We start from the raw sequence: 17276 nt of genomic DNA on the forward strand, positions 1-17276 counted from the left end.
AAATTAACTTAGGGAATTAAAAATTGAGGAATGGGAATTATATATTAGTAAAAACAGTTAAGATGATTTCTAACTGAGAAAATCTTAAGATGCTATGATTAAATACTTATTGGATCAAAGGTTCTGATTTGCAATGACATTTTTTCCTTTGTCAGGTGTTCCAGTGCTGGCTACCTCACCCTTGATGTTTTTCATTCCAACAGTCCTACTAAAAGTCTCCCCTAAACCAAACCTTCTAGGGGTTTCATGAGCACTGTGGGGCTCCAAAGCTGAGGATGGCAGAACTCTGAAAGGCAAATGACTGACAGTCGTCACTAGACCCATGTTTTCTAAGAGGAGCAGGTGAAGCAAAAAAGGAATCCAGCAAACAAAGCCACAAGTGAAGAAAACAGAAAAAAAATATTGAAGATAACAAAAGAAAAGACGTGGAAAAAAACGTAAAGAAGCTAACAGAAAAGAGAAGCACAGAAAGAAAGAAGGGAAAATGGAATAAAAGGGTTTTCATGGCTGGGCGCGGTGGCTCACTCCTGTAATCCCAGCACTTTGGGAGGCCAAGGAGGGCAGATCACAAGGTTAGGAGTTCGAGACCAGCCTGGCCGACATGGTGAAACCCTGTCTCTACTAAAAATACAAAAATTAGCTGGGCATTGGCGTGTGCCTGTAATCCCAGCTACTCAGGAGGCTAAGGCAGGAGAATCACTTGAACCCCGGGGGTGGAGGCTGCAGTGAGCCACGACTGTGCCATTGCACTCCAGCCTGGGCAACAGAGCAAGATCCTGTCTCAAAAAAAAAAAAGGTTTTCATGGTGGTGAAGACAAAAAAAAGAAAATGTAAATGTAAATGAAGAAAGACGGCAATAAAAAGGAAAGTGAAGAAAAAGGAAGAAGACAAATTTAAAAATCAAATATGGGAGAAAGCAGGAAGAGGAGACCTGGGGAGGAAGGTTCTCATATCCCTGCCCATCTCCACCTTCTCGACTCTCTCCCCTCTCCAGTCTAGGTCCATGCGAGAAACAGGACGGTCCCTTCTTTTTAACCATCCACGTAAAACTCCTGCCCAAAATTGGTGATGATTATGGTTTCTTATTATCCCTGTCACTGAGTTACGAGTCAGAGTCAAGAACAGGAACAAAGCATAAATATGAGGTCCCAATTAAATAATTAAATAATTTTCTGGCTAGGCATGGTGGCTCATGCCTGCAATTCCTGCACTTTGGGAGGCCAAGGTGGGAGGACTGCTTGAGGCCAAGAGTTGGAGACCAGCCTGGGCAACATAGTGAGATTCCATCTCTATAAAAAATTAGCCTGGCATGATGGTGTGCGCCTGCAGTCCTAGCTCCTATGAAGGCTGCGGCAGGAAGATGGCTTGAACCTGAGTTCAAGGCTGCAGTGAGCCATGACCACACCACTGCCCTCTAGCTTGGGTAACAGAGCAAGACCCTGTCTTAAATAAATACCTAAATAAATAGATAAATAAATAGTAAATAATTTTCCAAAAGGAGTGTGCCTCAAGGCCCCTAAGTGTTAAGGTTCAGCAAAGTATACTCAAATGTTAGTAACAATCAAAGCATACAATGCAAATGCTCATCATGAAGTAGGTATGGTGAGCAGTTCAAGCCAGCAGTGGGCCTCAGTGAGATCTTCACTTTCCCCCATGTCTAGCACATCCTTTTAGGCTCTCTAATATCCCTGGCAGGAGAGAACATGCAGTTTTTTTTTTTTTTTTTTGAGACAGCGTCTGGCTCTGTCGCCCAGGCTGGGGTGCAGTGGCGCGATCTCGGCTCACTGCAAGCTCCGCCTCCTGGGTTCACGCCATTCTCCTGCCTCAGCCTCTCAGGTAGCTGGCACTACAGGAGCCCGCCACCGCTCCCGGCTAATTTTTTGTATTTTTAGTAGAGACGGCGTTTCACTGTGTTAGCCAGGATGGTCTCGATCTCCTGACCTCATGATCCACCCGCCTCGGCCTCCCAAAGTGCTGGGATTACAGGCGTGAGCCACCACGCCCGGCCGAGAACATGCAGTTTATCATGAGAATGGGTCTCGACCAATTCCAGCAGCAGCAGCAACACACACATTGGTTTGTATGTCTGTATATATGAGAGAGAGCAATGAGACTGAGACAGAGAGGGAGACAGTGAAAGAGAAAGTGGGAGAGAGAGGGAGAGAAAATAGAAGGATGAAGAAAGAGCTAAGAAAGGAAAACGAGACAGGGAGAGACAGGGGAGAAGGACTGATACTGGAGGCAGTGGTTGCAAATGCTTCGTCCTGCCACTCTGCACCAAACCAGGGGAGTCACGACTGTGTTCATGCTGGTAGGACCACAGCACCCATGTCACACCAACATGACAAGGTGTCCCTTCATTCATCTAAGTGGCCCAACACTGAGGTAAGGGTAGGTAGAACGACTTTCCCAGTCCCCATCCATCAGCCCAGATACAATAACACCTCCGTTATTTCCCACCGCCATCCATCAGCCCGGATAAAATAACGCCTCGCTCTCCCCCTAACCCAGACTCCATGGCGGCTGCAGTCATACCTTTCATGTACAGAAAGCTGTGGAAATACGGCAGAGTGACACAGCTGTACACAGAGTCACGCCGGTATGAAAGCTCATCATCTGTATCAAACCTGGAATCAAAGTCCTCTTCACTATCTTCAAACTGGACCGAGAGAGAGAAGCCAACGGTGAGGGAAAAGGCCACAAAGCAAGCCACGAAGATACCCAGCATGTATCATCATTGAAAAAATACAAAAATACAGCTACTCAAGAGGCTGAGGCAGCAGAATCACTCGAACCCAGGAGGCAGTGACTGCACTGAGCAGAGATCGTGCCACTGCACTCCAGCCTGGGCAACAGAGCAAGCCTCAGTCTCAAAAAAAAAAAAAAAAAAAAAGGGAAAAGGAAAAAGAAAAAAAACAACTGACAAGCAATACGCCTGATTTACGGTAGCACACAAATAATTCGGAATTAAAAATACCAACTTTTAAGGTCAAATGGTCAGTTGAATTGATACATGAAAGACAAGATATACTTGAATCCAAAGGCTATCTGCCCTAAAACTAACAATGCTTTTTAAGGCTATAATTTTAATCAAACCATGCAAGAGTTCACCCCCTCTGAATTACTATATTAAATATATTTTCAAATCTTTGAAAGTCAAGAGAACATTCAATGCACGACCAAAGCGACAAAATAAAAGTAAACTACAGATAAATCCAGAAACTGGAAAAGAGTACATTTAAGCCCTGCAGCTTCTTCCTTTACAGCCACTATAAGAAATAACATCGTGTGGTTTGGATTGTGAAGTTAGTACAAGGAAAGTTTGCCAGTTCACCCCTGGCAAGTCTTGTTCCAGTTCAGGATGTGTCTTCATTTCCTAACGCAGCACGGCAAAGCTAAAAGTTCCATTCAAATTGTAAAAAAAGGGAAGGAAGAAATAAAATAAAATAAACAAAAGTTCCATTTAAAAAGCCAGTTTTAAGCCGGGCATGGTGGCTCACGCCTGTAATCCCAGCACTTTGGGGGTCCGAGGCAGGTGGATCACCTGAGGTCAGGAGTTCAAGACCAGCCTGGCCAACATGGTAAAACCCCATCTCTACTAAAAATACAAAAATTAGACCGGTGTGCTGGCGGGCATCTGTAATCCCAGCTATTCAGGAAGCTGAGGCAGCAGGATAGCTTGGACCCGAGAGGTGGGGACTGCAGTGAGGCAAAATCCTGCCAATGCACTCCAGCCTGGATGACAGAGAAGACTCCACCTCAAAAACAACAACAACAACAATAAATAAATAAATAGCCAGTTTTCTGAAGTCTTGGGCACAGCTCAGCTCTAGGCTTTGTGCTAAAACTGAAACAGGCACATCAAAGTTCTACTTATGAATGCAATTGGCTTATGGAATAAGCAAAAGGTTTAAGATGATCTCTAAGACCACGACTCTGCAATCTTTGCACAGATATCCTACGGGTATCTTCATTCAACTTGAGGATGCAACAGGGGTGGGTGTGACCGGCCACCCATTTCACTGGGACACGCCAGGCAGGTACTTACCGAGGACTGCGCCCCCTCAGAGCTGAACCGGTAGGCACCCGAGCTGTTGTAGGTCCCCACAGAGCAGCGGTAGTCGGGGGACCACTGGCTGCCGTAGGAGTTGGAGAAGGTCACGCTGCTGCCGGAAGTGATGGCACCGTCCTCATAGTCATCCTGGTCGTAGTCGTAGTCGCCGTCTGGGGAGGGCAAGTCCCCAGCGTTCTGGGGCATGCAGTAGGTGGACTCGCCGCTGGAGGAGTTGTGTAGGCTCCCGGAGTCCTGCACTGATGGGGCGAGCAGCACCGTGCTGTCCGCACTGGGGCTGGTGGGCACCACCGTGTCGTTCATGTATGGGTCCTCCTCTGAAGAGTCATCGCTGGTCCGGATGCCACTTGTTCGCTGGTCTGAGTGGCCGTGCTCGCTGGGGTTGGGGGAGTCCTTGAAGGCGTCGTCGTCGGCTTCGAAGCCCTCATCGACCTCCTCCTCTGGGTAGGGCTGGCTGAAGTTGAAGTTGGGCTTCTCCTCGCATGCGCTCTCAGCCAGCTCGCTGGAAAATTCGCTTCCCACCGACAGGGACCGCTCGATATTCCGGACACACTCGTCGATCTCGTCGAAATTGAGGGACTCGAGGAACTCCTGGGCCGCCCTGCACGCTTCCTCCTCCAGCCTGCGGAGCTCCTGGTCCCGCCGCTCCTGCAGCTTCTGCAGGGAAGCCTCGGTCAGCGACAGCTCCTGCTGCTCCTTCATGCGCTGCAGGTCCTCGATTTCTTTCTCCAGACGGAGGATCTCTTCCACCTGCTTATTTTCCTTCTGTTTCTCCAGTTCACGGGTCAGTTCAGCTTCCTTCTGGCTCTTCTGCAAGGCTTCGAGTTCTTGCTGCTTCCTCGTTTCTTCTTCCTGGACAGAAGCAGAAGGGAGATTTCAGAAGGCTTCAGTACAAAAGTCCAAGCATAGCTCCCGCTTTGCAACCAGGATGAAATATGGTCATTATGAGTTGGACTGTGTCCCCATAAAGTCTATAGGTTGAAGTCCTAACCCCAATACTGCAGAATGTGACTGCATTTGGAGATACAGCTTTTAAAGGGGAGACTAAGTTAAAATGAGTTCACTAGGGTGGGCCCCAATCCAAGATGACTGGTGTCCTTTTGGGAACAGGAGACTAGGTCACACAGAGAAAAAAGGCTGCGTGAGGACACACTGGACAGACGGCCACCTGCAAGCCAAGGGGAGGGGCCTCAGAAGACATCAAACTTAAGGATAACTTGATCTTGCAGTTCCGGCCTCCAGAGCTGGGAGAAAATCAGTTTCCACTGTTCAATCCACCAGTCTGTGGTATTTGGCTGTGGTGGGCCTAGCAAACTAACACGCTGGTTATACCGATTTAGAGAAATTATACTCTTGTGATGCACACTAAAACCTCAGCCATTCACTACGCTTTACCCAATTGTAATAGGTCAGAAATTGGATCATAAACACATCCTCTTAAATTGTTCTTCCTGTTATCTTTCTACTTTAATTCAGTTTTGAATCCTAGAGTCCAAGCATTAGAAGTGGGAAGGAAGTAGAAACACAAGAGGCTAAGTTGTCACTGCACTCATTACCTGCTGGGCGCGGAGCTCGGCTTCTCTTCGCTCTCTCTCTCTTTCTCTAAAAATAGTAAAGGAAAAGTGAAAATCAACAACAATAACCCTGGAACCACTTTTCAGAGAGATCTACGTTTTTAAAACAGCTTTGCCAAAGACAGAAAGCATGAAAGACAGAGCCCCTTCCTCTGGCCATGGATTTATTCTGTATGAATAAAAATATTCACAGAACTGGGTCTTTAATGCTGCCAAGGAATTTTATATTCTAGCCACCTAGAGTTACTGTTTCAAATTGTAGGTTCTGGGGCATCTGCTGGGATTTCTGGCTGCACAGACAGATACCGAGCACAGCACTCAAAATGTATCCATTTGTTTCATCCCAGCAAGAAAGGTACTGTACCTTTCTTCTTCCTCCCGTTTCTTCTTTTCTTCCTCTTCCTGTTTCTTCTTTTCTTCTTGCTCCCTTTTCTCTGCCAGCAATTGTCTGTAAACTCTCCGAGCAATCTGACCTCTGAGTTGCTTCTGGAAAACTATGGCTGCCTTTTTCAGGTGCAAAAATCTCCTCCTCAGAAGGAATGCTCTGTAATTCTTCTGTATTATCACCACACAATAAAGGACCTTTCTGTATTGTTTTCTGAAAATGAAAGAAAACAAGAGAATCGGCATTGAAGTAATGAGGCTTTGAGCTATTCAAATGAGCTCACATCAAGGCTACAAGACAAAAGAGGACCCAGTTTTAGAATGAGACTCTCATTATGGAAACTGGAGAGAACAAGGAGGCCCCTTTGGTCAAAACAAAACAGGAGAAAAACAAAGAAATAATAACAAACAAAACTAAAGTAAGAAGCCTATCACTATCTTGGCTAAATAAACACATAACCCCTCATGTTGGCTTTAAGTAGTCTTGGCAGAAAGTTGGGTAAATAGTTCCCAAAGAGATCTGATATATTCTCCTGTTCATATGAAAAAAATCATCACAGCAGGACAGCTTTGTGCTTCAGAAAATGTAACACGTAGTGTTTCACGGGCATAGTGGATGCAACTAAAACGCACATGAGGAGAAGTTGCCTCAGGCCAGGTGCGGTGGCTCATGCCTGTAATCCCAGAATTTTGGGAAGCCGAGGCAGGCGGATGGATCACGAAGGTCAAGAGATCGAGACCATCCTGGCCAACATGGTGAAACCCTGTCTCTACTAAAAATACAAAAATTAGCCAGGTGTGGTGGCATGCACCTATAGTCTCAGCTACTTGGGAGGCTGAGGCAGGAGAATCACTTGAACCCGGGAGGCGGAGGTTGCAGTGGGCTGAGATCGCACCATTGCACTCCAGCCAGACGAGCGAGCGAGACTCTGTCTCAAAAAAAAAAAAAAAAAAAAAAAAAAGAAGTCACCTCATTCCTCAAACAGCTGGAGGATGGGTCTCTATAGCCAAAATGATAACACCAAGGTGAACAGCCAGGCCGCTGTGGCTTCAAGACCTGACGCAGAGGAAGTAAGCAAATAATTTAAATATCAGGAGAAGGCTGGGTACGGTGGCTCACACCTGTAATCCCAGCACTTTGTCAGCCGGGAGGATCCCATGAGCCCAGGAGTTTGAGACCCTCCTGGGCAACATGAAGTGACCCATCTCTAAAAAAAAAATTTTTTTTTAATTAGCCAGGCATGGTGGTGTGTGTCTGTAGTCCCAACTACTTGGGAGTCTGAGGTGAGAGAATTGCTTGAGCCCAGGAGGTCAAGGCTGCAATAAGCCATGATCGTGCCACCACACTCTAGCCTCAGAGACAGAGTAAGACCCTGCCTCAAATAAATAAATAGATCTCAGTAGAGTTCCCTGCTGTCACTGTTCTTTCTACCTGAGAAGTCAAAAAGTGCAGAGCTCCCTTTCCTACCTGCTGCCCAGTCAGGCTAGCTAGGTTTCGGGAGTGGCTGCTTAGGAGGCCTGACCTGAGGCTCCCCTCAATTCAAAAACCTCAGGCCACTCCACTGGAACACACTGGGAAGGAAGGACCCCCTCATGGAGCTTCCTGCCTTATCCCCTCAGCGTGGGGTTCTTACCGTGCTAAGAAGCCCAAGACATGGGCCCGAATCACCATGGCCGCGTGGCTCACTTCCTCTTCCCTCCGCTTCTCCAGTTTCTGTTCCAAGGATTCTCGAAGAAAGACCTGCTCAGGACGGAGTCACATGTCAGAAGCAAAGAACATGGCCAGCAGAAGGAAGGCATTTCTGAGTCAAAGATATCTTCTGGAGTTAAGGCTTTTTTCTCTTAGTTTGATCCACCACATGGCCATGCTTTCTAGAATAGTGCTTTTTAAAGGTTCCACCTGTCATGGGCTAAAACAGTTGCAAAATCCAATAAAGATATATTACAAGGAAAAACAAAAATGCTGCATACAAATACAAGTGCCTTTTATGGTTATTGTTACTGAATTCAACAGGCATAAGATGACTACCAAATTGCTATCTAAGCTTCTCAACACTTAACACATCATGGGCTGGGACGAATAGTTCATGGACCAGCATTGGTCACTACATTGAGTCTACGTAATATGATTCAGAGATACAGAAAGCAGAGGAAGGAAAGGAGGAAGGAAGGGAAGCCAAGAAATTTCTAAAACGTTATTTTGCCTTTATGTGGAAATCCTCTCTTTGTGCCTGCTATGTGATTACAATCAGAGTATCTTGGCTTCAAAAACTTAAATGCACTCAAAATATTGACGTTAAGAACATTATTCTGAAAACTGAGTTTAAAATGAGAACTGAATTATTTCAGCTACATCTCAGTTTGACTAGCACAAGCACAGTGGAATCAGGACTAAATAAATTGTAGCTGTTTGCTTGCCTATGTCTGAGAATGGACACGTCCATCCTCTGCTTATCAAATAAGTGTGTCAGGTAATTGGCACTTTGTATTAGAATTCCTAGTTTTTGAAAAGATATGAAAATACCAGGACCTTCTCTTGATAAAGTGGCTTTTAATTTTGCCATTTCAGATTTAATACACGCATAAGAAATTTTGAATGATTCCCTATAACAACCAGTATCAAACATTTTCATGCTTTTTTGTTAACAATCCACACAGATGCATTTTGGTGTCTCCGCAATTTTTTACTTTACGCTTCCATGCGTCATTCTGGCCTAAAATGGTGCATCACGTTCTCCCAATGGCACATTTTTCCAGGTTCTCTGCTCTGTGTCCTCCATGACATTTGGGCAAAAAAGCAAATAAAGAGTCCTACCACCTTGTGACTCACAGCCGTACCTATTCCTGCTCTGGGTAAAACTCCATCACAAATCATTCTCCTAGGAAAGCTCTTCATACAATCCTCTCCTTATAATACAATTATTATTGTATTATATATACAATATATATTCTGTTGGCCGGGCGCAGTGGCTCATGCCAGTAATCCCAGCACTCTGGGAGGCCGAGGCAGGTGGATCACCTGAGGTCAGGAGTTGGGAGACCAGCCTGGCCAACATGGGGAAATCCTGCCTTTACTAAAAATACAAAAAATTAGCCAGGCATGGTGGGGGTGCCTGTAATCCCAGATACTTGGGAGGCTGAGGCAGAAGAATCGCTTGAACCTGGGAGGCAGAGGTTGCAGTGAGCCAAGATCATGCTGCTGCACTCCAGCCTGGGCAACAGAGTGAGATTCTGTCTCAAAGCAACATATATACATATATATACACACACGTACATACTCATATATATACACACTCATATATATACACATATACTCATATATACACATATATATTCACATATACATATACATGAGAATATATATATACACACACACACACTCTGTTGGTGCAGAAGCTACAAGTGTAAAGTTTGTTGGATGTAATCATCATTAAAGATGTTCAGAAATACAGAATTCCCTGTACATATCAAAATCACGTAGCAAAAGCAGTTTTCATCAAGACTGGACTTTTAAGGAAGCATTTCAACTTCTCTGAGATTTTTGTTTGGTATTACATATCTTACTCTAATGCTTTTGCTCTTATGAGTGCTTAAAAGGAAAAATAACAGCCAAATCTTGGGGAAGGGGGTGGTGGTGACGAAAGAGACAAAAGTGTCAACTCTCATGAGTGACACAGCGATGACGTGAACAAGTGGAAACCTTTGTGAAGGAACAAAGGTCTTCTCCACCATTGGAAGTCAAAAGAATGTCTTGGTTAGAATCAGAATCAGACAAATACTTGCTTTAGTTTTCAGTCCATTAAAAAGACAGCTCTCAAAATAAATAAATAAATATGTTTTTAAAAAGCATTCTTCCACATCTTTATTTACATTCTCCTTCACCAACCTAAAGGGCAAACAAATAGAGAAAATGCTTTTAGGGACCTGTCAGTTTCATTAAGAACACGAACCCTGAATTAGACAATGACAGAAGGAAAGTGATAGGTTTGGCTGTGTCCCCACTCAAATCTCATCTTGAATTGTAGCTCCCATAATTCCTATGTGTCATGGGAGGGACCTGGTAGGAGGTAATTGGATCATGGGCGCAGGTCTTTCCCATGCTGTTCTCACGACAGTGAATAAGTCTCATGGGATCTGATAGTTTTAAAAAGGGGAGTTGCCCTGCACATGCTCTCTTGCCTGTTGCCATGTAGGATGTGCCTTTACTCTTCCTTCATCTTCTGCCATGATCATGAGGCCTCCCCAGCCATGTGGAACTGTGAGTCCATTAAACCTCTTTCTTTTATAAATTACCCAGTCTCGGGTATGTCTTTATTAGCAGTGTGAGAACAGACTAATACAGAAAGTGTTTCTGTGAGCCCTTGTGTCACTTTGCCATGTTCCCAGGACTCAGCCAAGACCAAGTTGGCACAACCTAGTGACTGGGAATGTGGCATCAAAGCAGGCACCAAAGCAGCTGAGCAAAGGGTGGTACCCACTCAGGCGCTGCTTGGCTGAACTTGACTCAATATCCAACAGGAACCATTTCACGTGGTTCTTTTTCACTTTTATCTTCTTAGGTAGCTTAAGATCCTGTGGGTTATTCTAGTACACTGTCTTTATAAAAATACCTCCTGCATGCTTCATTGCCACAGAACTGAGGAAGAAAAGTCTGACACTGAAGTCCAGAGGGTCAGAAAAGTAAAAGTCTTGAGTCTTCAGGAATCCTTGAGGCAGTGGGAAAAGCCAAAACCAGGAAGGAGAGGGACCAGCTGCCCACCTCAGTCACCGTAAACGCAGCTGTTCAGCAGGGAAATACATTGCAATCTCCTCCCCACGGGCTGTGCCGTGAAGCATCCGACAGGCCGCTTCAATTCCTAGTAATGCTTCTCCAGTCCTCTAGGTAAGAATGCTTGCCTTACAAGAACAAATATGTTTTGGATAAGTCAGCCAGTTCAGACCTGGAGCCATGTCTAATTCGCTGCCTTCGACACTGGCTAAACTTGCCTGTTGTGTACGGCAGACATTCCTTTACCAGAAGACCAGAAGTTCATTAGAGGTTTGAGGCTTTAAACAGAAAGACCTTCTGGTGGCAACACACCAAAACACCTGCTATCCAACATGTAACTCAAACACTGGTCAAGATCAAAGCTATCAAGAAGCCACAATTCAAATGCTTTGATGTTTGCATTTACTTCCTAACATGTCTGTGGAAAAATAAACTTCCATCCAACTTCTACTCCCAACTTTTCACCAATTAAAACTGAACTCCTCTTTAAAAACTTCTTCATCTTGAATACTTCCTTGATCATTTCAATCCATAGGGATCTCTCTCCTGAAGAAGCTGTTTCCTTACTCCTTTAAAAAGATTGTACTGCATGATTTAATTCATCCACTGTGTGTGAATATCTTATCTTCCAACACAGTAAACTGAGGACAACGCCCATGTCTCTGTGTCCCCTATGCTACACTACGTCCCAAGCCTGCCTTGGGCCTGATTTCCATAATGTAAATTCTAAGTGAAGCTGGATTAGTACTTGGAGCCCAGAAAAGACTGTTAATGGCTGGGTTGAGTTTTAATGATCTCTAATGTTACTCCACTGTAGAAGGCAGTGAGGTGACTCGTTTATAGAGAATGCAATTTCTTTTTGTTTTTGAGACAAGGTTTCACTCTGTCGCCCAGGTTGGAGTGCAGTGGCATGATCAGGGCTCACTGCAGTCTTGACCTCCTGGGTTCGAGCAATCCTCCCACTCTAGCCACGCGAGTAGCTGGGACTATAGGCACATGCCACCACGCCTGGCTAATTTTTCTGAATTTCAGTAGAGAAAAGGTCTCACTATGTTTTCCAGGCTGGTCTCAGACTCCTGGGCTCAAGCGATCCTTCTGCCTCAGCCTCCCAAAGTGCTGGAATTACAAATGTGAGCCACTGTGCCTGGCTTGCAATTTCTTTTTGATTAAACAAAATCAGAGCAGATTGTATTGCACTGCCAAGAGCTCCACTTGAGCCATTTTCTTCAGAAAGTTTTCCTAATAAATGTATGACATCCTGTGTCACCTCTTATAGTTTTTCAGCACCTCATAGACACTGATTAAGCTCAGCACTGTGTAGAATGAACAATCAGCTCTACATGCTCTACTGGGTGATCGTAGAGAAGCCAACAGCAAGACAACAGGACAGCATATGAAGTCTACATCAGGGCTAAGAAGAGGATGACCTGGGACAACAGAGGAGGGGGCTTACCCCAGCTATAGGGTGCACTGAGGAATGTCAAAAAAGGAGTCCTTTCAAAGTCTACCTCTAAGCCAAGACCTAAAGATGAGTTGGCTACAGGAGTGGAGAGTAAGATTCCAGGCAGAGAGACCTATCACCTGCGGGGGGCACACCCTCAGGTGGCCCCCAGTGGGTTACAACCCTCTTTAATCTTCCTGAGTGGGGGTGCAATCTGGGACTTGCTTCTAGCCATTAGACTGCAGCAAAGGTGACGGGATATCACTTCTGTGAGAACGCTACAACCCTACGCTGGAGCATGTGGTTATCCTGCTGGCCTGAAAGAAGTGAGCTGCCATGTGTCAAGGAATTTTGAGGGCTTCTAGGAGCTGCGAGTGGTTCCCAGCCAACAACTAGAAAGAAAACAGGGACTTCAGTCCTCAAAAACACAGGGAAATGAATTTTGCCAATGACCAAGTGAGCCTGGAAGATACCCTGAGGTCCAGAAAAGAACAAAGCCCCAAGATACAGGGACTGCAGGCTTGGGGGACCCTGATCAGAGGACCCAGCTCAGCTGTGCCCCAGCTCTGACCCTTAGATACTATGAGATAATCAATGTGTGTTGTTAAAGCCATGAAGTTTGCAGTAATGTATTACAAAGCAATAGCTAGCTCATGTGATTATCTCTGCATGCTATCTCTACCCTGTTTTGTGTTTATATCTCAAATCCGTCAGCAGTAAAAAATTTCCCTAGAGCAGGGAGGTAGTAGGTCCATCATGACTTTCCCTTGCTGAATGTCCAGGAGGTGAAGCCTAAGTACTTTTCATCAATCTCACATTGGTCAAACTGCAAGACATACGTCTCTCTCTTCCCCCGCTTTCTCCCTCTTTCCTTTCCTCTTTTTATAAAGCAAGAAACTTCTAGATTAAAAACAGCATATTATGAGTGGAAGCTTTAAAATACTTCTCTGACATTGCACTGCTGTGTGTAAGGGCAGAAGGAGCGGGAATGAGGATTCACTCTTCGAGGACACATGTGTCCTCAGCTGCCTGCATTTCTGTGTCAAGTCACATTGCTGTCTTTCCCATGTGACAAGTCATTGAAGGTGGGTGGGGAATGAGAGTGGAAGCCAAACGAGGTTCTTGGCAGTTCCCTGATCCAGAAAGAAGAAGTCATACAACAAATTTTGTGACTAATTTTTTATGTTCAGGCCCGACTGCCCATACTCTGCTCCTATCTGGAAAAGGGGGTTAAGGAGCCTCTGCCCCAACAGCATCTTCAAACGTAGATTTTCCTTTTTGCTTTCTGGACTGAGTTTTTGACAACCAGAAGGATTTCAGACCGGCTACTGATCTCTCGCTCAGTCGCTGCTCTGGTTGCAGGGATAAAAGCCAGTATTTGAATTAGAGAAAGTTAGAAGGGTCTTGGGGTATCGCTTTGTAGACACTGGGGGCTGCCTCCTACTTCCAAAGTACTGTTATTCGTCTGCCAACATTTGTTACTGCCTGAACAAATACCCACACACAAACAATTAGGATGAGATGTTTCAATGTGTTCTCTAATGAAACAGAGTCCCTGACAAGTCAAGGACTTCACTTCAAATAAAATAGTAACTGTTTGGGAGACAAAAGGTTATGGTAGGCATGGCAACAGGAGTATCTTCCCAATGTGAAAGAACAATTGTATAGCGGTGTCATAGAGCCCTAAACCCTGTGAGCATCACCCCGAGATCTGTCAGGGATTCGGTGGGAGTTGCTCTTTCTCCGCATCGTACCTTGGTCTTCCCCAGCTGCCACTCGCTGTTGGAGGCATCATAGAGCTGCAGCAGGCTCGTGCACTTCCCTCGGACGTCCTCAGGCAGAGCCAGATTCCTCATCAGCACTTTATACCTGCAACGTGAAGACACACAGGGTCACCTTCTGCGATGGTTCCCTGTTTTCTCCAACCCCTTTGAAAAGAAAGAGAATCCAATTCAGCTCCCTCTTGCCTTTTGTAAAAGTCCTGAAAGGGTCTTCGGACCGCATACCCAGCTTTGCGGATTCTCACAGTCTCCAGCATCCCTGAGTACCGCAGCTGGTTCAGCACAACCGCCTGGTCAAACTGGTCTGGCATCTAAACCATGCAAAAAAAAAAGATGGGATACCATTAGAAAAAATGGAATTCGATAAGGGAGGCTTAATAAAGCCACCTCCATCATTGGTTTACCCCGCTTCAAAACACATACGAGAATCTTGAACCTACACAGAAATAGAGACTAGCACAGGAACCCCAGTGGAACCATCACCTCGCCTTAACAACCGTCAACCCCTGCCAATCCTGCCCCATCCACAAGCTACTTCCTCCCTCCCCTTATGTTTAAGAAAATCCCAGCCGGGCACGGTGGCTCGCGCCTGTAATCCCAGCACTTCGGGAGGCCGAGGCGGGTGGATCACAAGGTCAGGAGTTTGAGACCAGCCTGGCCAATATGGTGAAACCCCGTCTCTACTAAAAATACAAAAATTAGCCAGGCGTGGTGGCACGCGCCTGTAGTCCCAGCTACTCGGGAGGCTGAGGCAGGAGAATTGCTTGAACCCGGGAGGCAGAGGTTGCAGTGATGGCGCCACTGCACTACAGCCTGGTGACAGAGCAGTCTCAAAAAACAAAAAGAAAAAAAGAAAAAAAAAAGGAAAATCCCAAACATCGCATCACCTCATTTGCAAAGATTCTACTATATGTCATGTGTTAATATAACACTAGTATCATATCTTAAAAGATAACAATAATTCCTTTATATTAATATCCATGTTCACATTTCTGGCTGTATCACAAATATCATAAATGTACCACCACTTTAAAATCTATTTTTTCTGCAAAGACTTTAAAGTGTCATACAAATGTCACTTTATTTTACTTTTTAAATTTGAATTTAAAGTCATTTTTTACCTAAGAACACAGTGACTTGGTGATGGGTGGATACCCACACTGTGGCAGGTGAGGTGGGGGTGGGGGTGGGGATGGGGAAGGGGAGATGACCACGCTAGCCGGTTTGGAAGACATAGAGGCGAAAAAGAGTTTGACTTTGCTCAAATTCTAGTCAAATACTTATTTATTGAGAGCTCCATACTCTGATCACTAAATAAGCCTGAGAACACACAAATTAAAGACAGAGGAAATCAGAACCAAGACTTAATGCTCTGAAATGTGTTCTTTTATTTGTTCAGCTGCCAAACAAACTGGCACTGGGGCCAGGACAATAGGTTTTCAGAGGAAAGCAAAAAAGTGGGCCATTTAGGAACTCTGGGGACAGTGGTTTGTTTTTTCAGTCCACCCACCCGTGTTCCCTTTAATTAAGCTGCATGTTGTTATCCCACACAACTGTGAATACAATGACAAAAAAATAGTGCCATAGGACCTAACTGTTAAAAAAATACAAGAATGCAAAGTGGCTTAATTTGTGACCCTTAAAAATGCAGTCATTAACACAGAATTAGGCATAAAGCCGTGTTATTCTGCAAGCTTTCAAAATTGGCAAAAAAATAAATTTAAAGAATGCTTTGCAACTGTCCCTCACAGCTTTTGATGGAATAGCTGCCATCAGCCCTAGTGGGCTGACTTCTCTCATATTTAATTTCTTCTACAAACACTGTGGTCAAATTGTCTTTATTTAGCAGTATTCCAAACAAGTGCAGCCAGCAAATTAGGGCAAACATCCAAAGAACTGTGGTTCTCTGTTTTTAGTCTTGATTAAATTATCCTCAGAAAAGTAAGAAAAGCATAAAAATATGAAAACAAAATTAGCCTTGGTGACTCTTATGCCGTATCTCTGGATTTAAAAATGCGGGTTGGGGGGTGGCTGACTGTTCTGAAGGCATTTGGTTACAATGCTTCTGTGAGATTTATTTGGGAATATAATCTAAGCAGCACTGTATAGAGCAAATATAAAAGGAACACTGAATAAAGTATCAGACTTACTTAACTTTGTTAAATTTATACTACCAGAGAAGCCTTCTAAACTTAATATTTAATCACTTGATGCGCAAAGACTTTCATCCAAAATATCTCTATCTCTCAGGCTTTCCCTGTTCCTGATCCCCTCTTTTCTCCCAGTCTCTATAGAACAAAGTCTGTACAATTCCCCAGTCCGAAGCTCGAGTTATTAAAACTAAAGATATTACACCAAAAGGGCCTCCCCATCCAAAAAGTTCAGCCACACTCACCATCTTCCTGTCTCTCCAAGGGGCATCTCACCTTCAGTTTGGCTCTTGGGCCAAAATTCATATGGAAAACAACTGCCACACTGACCTTTTCCCCACAGCTAAAGACATGGAACAATAATGAACACCATTCCTGTGCTTTAAAAAGTGCCCGGTCGCCATGACAACCCCTTCCATTCTCGGGCTAATTAGTGTGGTGTGGTTGTAGGATTTGACACAGCCAGGGGAGGGGAGGGAGGGAGCAAGGAGCGGCCTCGAGATCCAGGCTCCCATTGCGATTGTGTCCCTGCCCCTTCCCAGTAACTTAACCAGGGGAGGGGGATCTATAGGCTGATTGTCGCCCCGGGCAACCCACCCTGCGATCACAATCACGAGGGGGTAGATCTGGATTTCCATTGGTGGTTTTCTTTTCGGCTGCAATTTCCTTTTCTGGTGAATTGAATGTTCAAAGATGACACAGCTGGAGGCTGGACAAGGCACAACTTAAAGGCATTTCGCCTTTCAAAACTCTGCTACTGCGCTGCCTCCACTGGTAACTAACTAGTTTTCCAGAACCTGAGCTCACTCCAACAAAGACTGCCTGCAGTGTACCGACAGGGAAGTCTCGATGGCGACAAATAGGTTGGAGTTTGGAAGAAACAGCCTCTAACCAGGGCAATTACAGTCACTTGATCCATTTACTGAATATTTACTGAACACCTACTATGTGCAAGGTTTTGTAATTCATGATCAGGGAAGATTTTTTTCAAAAAGGTGGAAGCTGTGTTTTGTTTCCAAGGACCCTGCAATTTAGGAGGGTGGACAGGTACATCAGTACTTAGATAGCGGAAAGCCTAATATTAAACTATAATTAAAGATTAAAAT

The 17276-nt window shown here is 44.9% G+C and overlaps 1 protein-coding gene across 5 annotated transcripts in view, besides 1 other annotated feature; it reads right to left on the reverse strand.

Moving 5' to 3' along the window:
* MYO10 (myosin X) overlaps positions 1 to 17276 on the reverse strand; it is a 274382-nt gene that overhangs the window by 35008 nt on the left and 222098 nt on the right. For 4 of the 5 annotated variants that reach the window (XM_006714475.4, NM_012334.3, XM_005248307.3 and 1 more), the window contains 7 exons: positions 14207 to 14331; positions 13994 to 14108; positions 7665 to 7771; positions 6011 to 6244; positions 5629 to 5674; positions 4049 to 4924; positions 2536 to 2659 (listed from right to left, as the gene is read on the reverse strand). In XM_006714475.4, the coding sequence (XP_006714538.1) occupies positions 2536 to 2659; positions 4049 to 4924; positions 5629 to 5674; positions 6011 to 6244; positions 7665 to 7771; positions 13994 to 14108; positions 14207 to 14331 (1627 nt within the window). Of the gene's footprint in view, positions 1 to 2535; positions 2660 to 4048; positions 4925 to 5628; positions 5675 to 6010; positions 6245 to 7664; positions 7772 to 13993; positions 14109 to 14206; positions 14332 to 16415; positions 16532 to 17276 lie in introns of those variants that run through there. The other variant, XM_005248306.5, reaches the window with a different exon arrangement.
* Positions 14148 to 14649: an enhancer, noted in NCBI's record as "H3K4me1 hESC enhancer chr5:16711171-16711672 (GRCh37/hg19 assembly coordinates)". NCBI's record gives its function as "activates a minimal SCP1, AML or CMV promoter by ChIP-STARR-seq in primed H9 embryonic stem cells {active_cell/tissue: H9 hESC(primed)}" and the evidence as "EXISTENCE:reporter gene assay evidence [ECO:0000049][PMID:30033119]".

This window comes from Homo sapiens, chromosome 5 (assembly GCF_000001405.40).
Source record: "Homo sapiens chromosome 5, GRCh38.p14 Primary Assembly".
Classification (NCBI taxonomy): Eukaryota; Metazoa; Chordata; class Mammalia; order Primates; family Hominidae; genus Homo; species Homo sapiens.